This window comes from Homo sapiens, chromosome 8 (assembly GCF_000001405.40).
Source record: "Homo sapiens chromosome 8, GRCh38.p14 Primary Assembly".
Lineage (NCBI taxonomy): Eukaryota > Metazoa > Chordata > Mammalia > Primates > Hominidae > Homo > Homo sapiens.
In genome coordinates, this window is record NC_000008.11 from 125,744,369 (window position 1) to 125,755,316 (window position 10,948).

The following is a 10,948-nucleotide window of genomic DNA, read 5'->3' on the forward strand; positions in this document are numbered from 1 at the left end:
GAGATGGCCTTTGTTATTATTCCCATTTGGCAAATGAAGAGATGGAGGGGAGCCAGCACTTCACAGCTGGGAGGCTGTCTTGAGAGTTCAGAGTCTCAACTGATGCTCTGAAATGGTGGACTAGGTCCTGAAGAGGCCAGAGACACAGACCAAAAATCAGGTTGGAGGACAGGCAGAAGAGGCATCAGCACAGGCTACATGGTCACAGTGAGGGTGGCACCAACTCGGCCCCTGCGTGGCTGATACACATATAACCTAGCTGATTGGACAGGTATATCAATATCCTTTTGACTTGACTTTCTGGATTACTCCTTCTCCCTCCCTGGATAAAATCATGGGGAGTTTCCTTAGCTTTTTCAATCACTATTAGAAAATAAATGAATAACACCTTTGTTTTAACATAAAAAAACCCAGCCCAGTAAAATTTGCATAACTCCAGAATAGTCCCATGTAATAATGTAACTCCAGTGCAGTCTAGTATAATCATTGACACCCTATGTTCTTATCCAGTTTAAAACTTTTTCATCCCTCTCTTCTTCAGCCTAGGTCACCTGCAAGAGAGCGAGGAATGGCAGCCATATGAAGATATACTAGAGAGAATGCTTTTGATCCATTCAAATGCTTTTAATTAAAATATCAGAATACTGAACACTTAAAATGGGCTTAAACAATAAAGAAGTTGTTATCTCAGAAAACAATAGGTACAATAATTTTAGGATTGCTAGCGTTTTGATGATGGCTTCTTCTCATATTTACAAGAAGGCAGCAGGAGCTCCAGACATCACATTTTCACCTACCTATGCTCAGAGCCCAAAATAAGCAGTCCCTGTTTTGCTTATTTTTAAGAGTGAGAAAAGTGTGTCCAGAACCCCTTCAGCTTGATTCTTCTTTTCTCATATGGACTGTGGCTGTGGCATGTGCCTATTTCTAAGCCAATCATTGGCAAGGAGGATAGAATTAACATGATGGGCTTGAACCAGTCAACACTGGCGCTGAGGAGGAACCATGAATCACATGGACCCTAATTCCTGAAGCAAAACTGGGATTCGCTCAGCAAGGAAGAGAGTGTGGGTGATAGTTATTTGGGGAAACCACATCTGAATGACTGTGACTGTTTGATGTCATGTGGGTTCATGTAAGTGAACCATCTGTTATCCACACCACAGAACAGGTTTCATTATTTCCATTCTACAGGAAAGTCAAACTCAAAGATAATAATTCACTTGAGGGCACAGAGCCAGTTCATTGGAAAATCAACCCTAGGGGTCATATTTTTTAACTATATCTTTACTGGAGCATGATTCTTTTCTCATTCTAACCCTAACTTTTGAAATATCAATTTTCCAAACACATGCTAGCCAATGGCCGTGGGATGAGAAAACATGCGCTTTAGAACTAAAGAGAGTTGGGCTTAAATCCCTGCTTCAGTATTTATTAACTCTGTGACCTGGACATGTACTTAAAACTCTCTCAGTTTTTTCATTTATAAAATGGGAATAATAAATCCTATATCATAGAATTGTCAGACAAGACAGTAGATGTGTAAAGAGCTTAGCATGGTTTAAGAGCTCAATAATTGGTATGCATTGTTATTATTAGTCTTAGTCAAAATATCGTGGAGTTCTTTATCTTCAATGATGTCCAGCCGTCTGTATATCTGTCCTTCCTTTTTTCTTTTCTTCTCTCTTTCTTTTCTTCTTTCTTTGCTTTCATTTTGTTTCTCCTACAAGTCTTTACTGATAACTTTTTAAAGTCATTACCTCTAAGCATAAACACTTCCTTTCCACACTTAGCCTTGTGATTCTGGGGCTGGGACTTTGCAGACCACACATCAAGCCTGGAGGAGGAAGAGGAGACTTGTTCCTTCCCATCTGTTTCCGAGGGCTTCCTGTTGGCTCACAGTTCCTGTGGGCATCACCCTGGAAGCAGCAGCTCCCTGTGTAGCAGCGGGTAACTCTAGTTTGCAGTTTTTCCAGCACTTACAGAGCCAGCCTCACCACACCCCACCCTGAAGACATCAGTGGGGCAGTGACCCCTTCTCAGATCTGGGTTTCAGGCCTATGAGGGCTTCTCTGACCTCAGAGACACCAGCATCAGCCAGGCATTGACCCCTCCCCAGAGGTCTGAGTTTCAGCTCCACGGAGTCCATTATTCAAGTTTTCACGTTTTAGTAATTTCAACGTTTTCCCTAGGTAGTTACTTTGAGTTCTCTTTTTAGTCTTTGAGCTATCAGTTCAATAACTTTATGGCTGGTTAATATATTTTAATTCTTTCTGTTTAAATTGCCAGTATTGGCTTGACTGGATCCTGATTTACACAAGTGCTTCTCATAGACCAGCCACTGTTTTAGGCATTGTGGAGAGAACAGTAAACAAAACAGTGGAAATACTCACCTCAAGGAGGCTACATTCTGCCAGGCAAAACAGAAAATGAACACATACATAACACAAACATGATCTGTCAGAGGGTGGTAAGCTCTACAGTGAAAAAACACCAGGGGAGGGGTGGGTGTGGGTGTGCCGATGCGGGGGTGAGTTGCCCTTTAAGCTGTCATGTTTAAATGATACCACTCATCATATATGTGAGAATATCTTGTTGCCCCAAATACTGGAAATCACTTTGTTTCATTTATAGCACAGTCTTATGAATCTTGGAGATTTTGTAAAACCAGAGGGTGTATAGAATTAATAGGGCTCTAAATGGATATCATACCTAGAAAAAAAAAAGAACAGCGTTTTAATTGGGTGGATAACAAGTGTGTGTATGTGGTATTTTGTCTGAACTGACAGCATCATCATTGAATCCAGCAATCTTCCTTAGAACAGATACTGGCTTATTTTAAACCATAGGTGCTACAGCCCAGAAGGGGTCTCCATTTTTCAAATCAAAGCTCTTGGAATTTTCCTCCTCATTTCCTGATTCTGAAAGGATTCCAATCAAATTTGTCTGCACATATTTCTCATTTATTTTCCTGACCACCAAGAAGGCCTCTTGAATTGGAGAATCCCACTGTTGAGGGTTTTCATTTGTATGATTTGCCCAGAGTGTGGCTTTTTGCTTCTAGGAGTCACAGAAAAGAGGGAAGACCTGAGCACAGTCTTCAGGACAGAAGGCCATGGTCACTGGTCATAACTAATTCTACCAGCCAGGAGAGGAAACGTGACTTACAATGACCAGCCTGATTTCTTGCTGATAGATGTTGTAATAGCTTTTATTATTATTATTTTTTAACAGTGCTTTTACTCAAGCCTGGGAAAAACCTGAATTCAAATTGGTACATCTTTTGATTTTGCAGAACAATCTTTTATGTTGGTTGGAACACTAGGTGGTGAAGCCAAAAAATAAAATTGCAGATGTGGTTTCCATTGAGAGGTGTACCAGGCAGGTGCATCTGGAATTGGTTTTCTTCCTGGGTGTTTACACAGCAGAGGATTCCTCATATCTTTGCTTTGGAAGAAGTCACAAGATTTTTCTCTTTGACTTTCCAAAAATGTCCCTGAGCTGCATGGAATGCTTTCATTATTACCAAGGAGGAGAAATGGATTAGTCTTTTCTTTCCTAGTTATAGTCACAGTTCAAAGTTAGAGAAAGTTTATTTTAATTCTGCTGTGAAGGGACCAGTTAGGGTCTAAGTAATTCCTGCTTCTGGGATTCAGAGATGTCAGATAAGTTGGTGGGGCAGGTGGCCCACAGGATATTAAAATGATATTGAGTGTTTGGTTTGTGCCTGGAATGTTGTTAAGGACTTTTTATGCATTTATCACATTTAATCAACACAACCATTCTATAAGATAGATATATTATTATTATCTTTATTTTACACAAAAAGAAAGAAGCTTAGAGACAGTGTCATAATCTGTTCCTGCTGCTATAACAAAATACCATATACCGGGTAGTTTATAAACAACAGAGTTTTATTTTTTGTAGTTCTAGAGGCTGTGAAGTCCAAGATGAAGGTGCTAACAGATTTGGTGCCTGGTGAGGGCCCATTTCCTGGTTCATGGGTAGTGCCTTCTTGCTATGTCCTCACATGGTAAAGGGGCAAGGCAGATTTCTGGGGCCTGTTTTATAAGGGCACTAATCCCATTCATGAAGACTCTGCCTTCATGATCTAATCACTTAGGATTTCAAACATAATTTTTTTGGGGAAAACAAACATTCATACCATAGCAGATGCTAATAACTCATGGTTATGCAGCTAGTAAGGGTTAGAAGTAGAACTCCAACCTGGGTCTCTTTGAGAAAGATTTGCAAGAGATATTTACATGAGGTGGGTGGGAGAAAAGACAGTTTCTGAGACAAAATCACTTCATGCTAATTTAAGCTACTCAATGTTTAAAAAAAGCTAGTCTATGATAAAGGTCATTTTTGCTTTGTATTAAGACAACCCAGATCAAATCCAATCTAAAGTTATTTATTGAATAGCTCTACTCGTCCAGGTATTACCCTAAGCGCTTTTAAATACCTGATTTTATTAAATTTTCTCAATTTCATGCAGGATAGAGATTTAGATCCCCATTTCTCAGGTGGGGTCACTCAGGTTAAGCTTGAATTAACCTGCACTGTCTACTTAGTTTCAGTCTTCCTAAAACCACGTTGAATGTTTCTAATCTCTTCTGTGAGATTAGCAGGCTGCTGTTTTGGTTATCTATTGCTATGAACAAACCACTCTAAAATTAAGTGGCATAAAATAACAATCATTTTATTATGTTCATACCGTTGTTGGTCATGAATTCAGGCAACACATAGCAAGGATAGATTTTTGTTGGGGAGTATTCAGCTGGAGTAGCGCTAACTGTTGGTGGTGTCTGGGTTGGTCACCTGGAGGTGTATATCTAGGGCTGTCGGTGAGTTTTTTTCGGTTCTTCACGTCATTTCTACTGGGAATGGGATGCCCGTCTTCATTCACTGTCTGGCATCTGGGCTGGTATGGCTGCCACAGTTGGAGCTGTTCAGGTGTTTTCTCTCCTTCCATGTGGTCTGTGCACACAGTAAGCATGGATTTCCTCATAACGTAATGATTTTAGGGCAGCTGGCTTTCCCCACAGCTGAGTTTCTCAGCCCTGGCACTGTTGACATTTTGAGCCAGACCATACTTTGTTGGGATTGAGGTGTCGTGTGTAACAGAATGTTTATCAGCATCCCTGGACTCTACCCACTAGATACCAGCAGCACCCTCTGACCTCCCCAGTTATAACAATAATAACAACGAAAATCTCAGACATTGCCAAATATTTCCTGGGGCATGCGAATTCCACACCCTCTTCCCCATTAACAATCCATAGCAAGGCTTCCAAGAAGCCTACAAAACTTATGACCTAGCCTTGGAAATTCCAGAACTTTATTTCTGCCACTTTATATTAGTCAAGAAAGTCTCAAAGGCTAGCCTGATTTCAAGGGGAGGAGAATTAGACTCCACTTCTCAATGAGAGAGATAGAAAATAATTTGCAGCCACTTTTTAAAATATACTGTGATAAAATACACATAACAAAATAAAAATATACATATATAAAATACACATGAAATTTACCATGTTAGCCACTTTTTATGTGGCATCAAGTACATTCACATTGTTGCACGACCATCACCACCATCCATCTTCAGAACATTTTTCGTCTTCCCAAACTGAAATTTCCTACTCATTAAGCAATAACTACTTCTCTCTCCTTCCACCCACCTGGCAGCCACAGCTCTACTTTCTGTCTTTATAAGTTTGACTACTCTGGATGCCTCATAGTGGAATCATAATGAGGCAGAAGAATTGGGTATGGAGGCAGGGAACCTAAGGCTGATTCATGCTGACTACATATCAGAGGCTACTCCCTTCTCAACTCCTTTTTCTGCATGGTAATTGCTGTGTGGCAGCGGCAACCCCTCCATTTTCTGTGTGGCAGTTGAAAAATGAAAATACCTCTGATTGGTCCTCTCTCACAACCAATCAGACTGGTTACAGGCCTACTCTTCATTCTGATTGGTCCCCTCCCACAACCAATCAGACTGGTCAGAGGTCAATGAGAACCCTCTAGAGGTGCATTGAAACTACAGAAAATTCTGTAACCAGCCCTCTTGCTTGAACCTGCTCCCACCCTGTGGAGTATACTTTTGCTTAAAATAAATCTCTGCTTTCTCTGCCATGCTTTGTTTGTGTGTTTTGCCTAATTCTTTGCTCAAAATGCCAAGAACCTGGACAACTACCCTCCACTGGTAACAGAGTGTTTGTCCTTTTGTGTCTGGTTTATTTCACTTAGCATAATGATTTCAAGGCTCCTCCATGTTGTAGGATGTCAGAATTTCCTTCCTTTTTAAAAACTAAATAATATTGCAAACATCTTTAATTGACCACAGCTACTCAAGTTCAAATTTTCATTGGTCTACAAAATAATGGAAGACAATTCTAGTTTAACTTGGGATTTTCTCTTGGAAATGTTTGCTCAGGCCTAAAATCTGATTTGTGCTAAGTCAGTCATGAGCAGACAGCTCAGGCTGACCTAATAAAACGATACCTGGGATTCTGCTTTGTATTATTGTGTGATGCAGATGTAAAATAAAATTGGACAGCTCTAAAACCAAGTGGTTTCACTGTTCTGGAGAAAAATGTGCTACATACATTTAAAATATTCTTACTAGTGTGTTTGCAACCAGGTGACAGGCGGTGGTGGGGAGGTGGGACAAGGGAAAAAAGAGAGGCAAAGTCACTGGCTCGAGGTCCGGAGTGAGCTAAAGTCTCTAAGGTCATACAATGTCAGAGCTTGAAGTGAGCTTGGAGTTATCTAGTCCCGATGATTCATTTCACTGACAATAATAACAATGACCTTACATTTAATAACTATTTAGAATTTTCTAATAGCTTTCACCCCTACTCCATTACTGGATTTTGATACAAACAGCACTGTATGTTAGGATGTGCTATGCTATCTATAGTTTGAGGAAACTAAGTCACATATTCCAGTCAACTGGAGTCCAGCTCTCCTAAGCTCCAGCCTTTCTACCTCACTGAGCCACACTTAAATTTGAATGACCGTTGTTAAAATCATGGGCTCAGTCCCTAGGCCTCTGTCATGTACTTCTCTCCAGGTGTTTTTTTGTTTGTTTGTTTTTTGTTTTTTGAGACGGAGTCTCGCTTTGTCACCCAGGCTGGAGTGAAGTGGTGCGATCTGGGATCACTGCAACCTCCGCCTCCTGGGTTCAAGCAATTCTCCTGCCCCAACCTCCCGAGTAGCTGGGATTACAGGCATGCGCCACCACGCCCGGCTAATTATTTTGAATTTTTAGTAGAGATGGGGTTTCACCATATTGGCCAGGCTGGTCTTAAACTCTTGACTTTGTGATCTACCCGCCTTGGCCTCCCAAAGTGTTGGGATCACAGGCGTGAGCCACTGGGCCTGGCTCCCAGGCCTCTTTTAGAAAGCAAATGCCTGCTATGCAGGGCACTATAACATTGAACAATGTTGTAGAAGGGAATGTAAAAACGCCCTTATTTATATAATCCTATGTATCACACAGTATTCTAGGCATTGTACATATAAAATCTTTTAAAGTTTTCTAAATAATCCCATGAAGATAACATCCGTATTTTACAGTTAGCAATGCTGAGACTTACACAGATCAGGTAACTTGCCCGTCTTGGTCAGGGTAACAAAGATCTTGGAGAGACTGGGGCCCTAAACATGTCAGCATTATGAGAAATGCAAGGGTTAAATTGTGAACTAACCCTAGAGCTGTTCTATTCCTTCCCACTTATGATATCTATTTTCTTCTGCGTTTTTGAAGGTCATGTCTCTGTACAACTTTAACTTTTCTCCTCATGCTGCCTAATAACATTTGGGAGCTTGGGAAAAGCTTTTTCTAATATTTACCAAGCCCTTCAAAGTCGCTAGGCAATCACGGCAGGTCTCTTCACAGAGGGTGAACCTGCTGACAACTTGGGGAAGCCTGGTGCAATATCTTCAGAGCACTTGTTTCTGTGAAATTCTTGTTTCTCAGCGTTGATCTTCATGGGTTGGAAATGAATAAAGGTTGTAGGTGAGGCTGTTGTAGGTTCAGAATGTGTAGTACCTGAGCCATAGAGTGAAAGAGTGGTCATTATTTCTGGGCATGTGACAAGGCTGAAGTCTAGACATCATGATAGACTGTCACTGCAGGTTCAAATCAAGGATGCTTTTGTAAGGAAAGGGGAGGGGGTTTAGAAGAAGAGTTTGAGTCATAAGGAATACAAGTTTGGTGTTTTGCTACATCAACTGCTAAGTAACACACAGTCCCTAGATTCCCAAAGTCTTTAAGTCTTTATTTGAAAACGACAACGTCAATTTAATAATATGGATCATGGAGATTGGCTTTAGGGTGACTCTGGGAGAATACAAGAAGGTTCTACTACTTATGCTGCCACAAATTGTGATTCAATAGATCCCCAAAATCCAGTAGGTGTTCAAGAAATATTGGTTAAATGAATGCAAGAGGCTGCAATTGGTTCCAAGAGCTGAAATTGTACATTGCAAGTGTTGATAGTGGAGAAGACAGTATATTCTCAATTACAACCCTCATTATTACAGGGACTTACATAATCCAGTCTCAGAAAGGGCTCATGTTAAAGGATACACCATCCAAATAGCTAAAAAATACCCACAGCCAAAAGTAATTTATATTCATGTTTTACTTGACTGCCTCAGGGAATGTCAGAGAGGAGGGCCATCCCATCTATGGAAACACGACGTAATATTCCCCAACCTGTCAAGTCTTCTCCTGAGTGCTTCAGCTCATAACCTTTTTTCCCTTCTCTGAATCCCTTAAGTGCTTTTATTTTGACTTCTTATGCATATTAAATGCAGGCTTGTTGTTCTGTTGCTTGACCAAGTCATGTCGTGTCTCCTATTAATTCATTCATTGTTTTTTACCAAGCCCCTGCCACATGCCAGGTACTATTCTAGTTGCTGGGCATATAGCAATGAATGAAATAGAAAAGAAAATCCTGTCATAGTAAAGCGTAAATTCTGATGTGGAATAACAGATGATGAACAAATCAATATGTTATATAATATATTAGATGACCACAAGAATAGTGGAAAATTAAGCAGGAAAAGCAGAGAGAGTGCCAAATGGGAGGGAGTGTGGGAAGGTGGTCAGGGAGGACCTCATTAAGAGCAAACACCTGAAGGAAGGGAGGGAAGAACATATGTGAATATCTGGGGCAAGAGCATTCCAAGAAGAAGAAAGAGCAAGTGCAAAAGCACTGAGGCAGCAATCAGCCATGAGTGTGAAGGAACAGCAAGAAGGCCCTTCTCTTTTTCAAACCCTGGAGAGCTGGAATCATGTGTTATATATCCTGTGTCCCTCCTGTATCATCTAACTCAGGACTGGGCACTTTGCAGACATGAGTAGAATCACAGAATAATAAACCTTAGAAGAAGCTTTGAATGCCCTCGTTTTGCAAATAAAAAACCTGAGGCCCAGAAAGTGAACCTGACTTGCCCAATTGTTGATACCTCTACTGTTTCTGCTCCCATGGCTGCCACTGTTATGACTATTATTTTTAATACACTATTACTAGTACTCAGATCCCACGGCTCTACATCATTCCTCTCTGGTGCACTGTCACACTCAAAGAAATGCATTCCAACAAGGAAAAGTCTTTGCAAAGCACTTGCAGTCTTTACCCAGTTCTCTTGAAGAATATGAAAGAATCCATCTCAAAATGCAGAGCCACATGCTGCTTTCCTTTCTTGCTCCCCATGGTCTCATTCTCCAAAGCTGTCCCATACCTCCCCCTCCTCGGACCCTTTTCTCTGTCTTCTCCAGGACAAGTGACGTTGGTCTTTTCCCCTCCTGCCTCTTCCTCTGGCTACTGTGGTTCCTTGCTCTCATTTTCCTATTCTGAACTACAGAGAATAGCCCAGAAATGGCCAGCAAAGATAGAACAGCATAGGGGATGGGGAGAAGCCATGTGCACAATGCAAATGTCATCTTTAGCTTTCAGGGGGAGAAGAATTAGTATTTGTCCTTGTCAAACTGATATTTCTAGCTGGATGCAATGGCTCATGCCTGTATTCCCAGAACTTTGGGAGGCTGAGGCAGGAGGATTGCTTGAGACCAGGAATTCACGGCAACATAGTGAGACTCTATGACTGCCAGAAATTAAAAAAAATTAGCCATGGTGGCATGTGCCTGTGGGAAGCTGAGGCGGGAGGATCACCTGAGCCCAGGAGTTTGAGGTTGCAGTCAGCTATGATTGCACCACTGTACTTCAGCCTGGGTTACAGAGTGAGGTCTTATCTCTTAAAAAAAAATTATTTCTATTTTTATGGGGTCTATTGACAGCCACTTTCACTGTGTTTCATTTCTTATTTTACAAAGACATTTCATAGTCAAGATTTAATTGGATTTGGACTTGGAAACTATGTCTTATGAAGGCCAAGCCTCCATTCTTTCTATGAAATATTGGTTAAATAAATGGTGTAGTAAATTAATGAAATGAGTGTCCATTCCCAGGGCTGCCCTTAAAATATGTAGGAGCCCCAGGAGATATTTTTTTTGAGTTATCCCAAATCAACATGTCAGCACCATTTTGATGGGCACATCTTGCATAATTTCTGCAAAAGAAATAATACACTGGACAGTAGGAGGAATACCCATGCTAGGACACTCTTCTGGATCTGGGGTTTAGCCATAAGGCTCCTGAACAATTTAGTAGAAGTCCTGGAGCATCATGGGACATCTGGTCAACCACATATTGAGGGTGGGAACAGAAGGTTGGAGAGCAACCCAAAAGGGAGAAACAGAGCCTAGAGGCTAGTCTGGTTCGGGCTTGGTGTACCTCTCACCTGATGGCATTCCTTGACCAAGACCCGTTTTAGGCAACAGAAATGTCTTTAGAAAATTACAAGGAGAACACCTTAAATGATGTGGTACCCCTTGCCCTAGTCTAAGGGACATTAATTGATATCGTTCCACTAA

General features: G+C 41.1%; 1 long non-coding RNA gene across 1 annotated transcript; it reads right to left on the bottom strand.

The window, feature by feature from the left end:
* Positions 1 to 4,686: 4,686 nt before the first annotated feature.
* On the bottom strand, positions 4,687 to 5,893 carry LOC105375747 (uncharacterized). The gene is made up of 2 exons (NR_188064.1): positions 5,532 to 5,893; positions 4,687 to 4,980 (listed from the first exon to the last, which is right to left on the bottom strand). It is a non-coding gene; the product is annotated as an uncharacterized LOC105375747 (long non-coding RNA).
* Between the last annotated feature and the right edge of the window lie 5,055 nt (positions 5,894 to 10,948).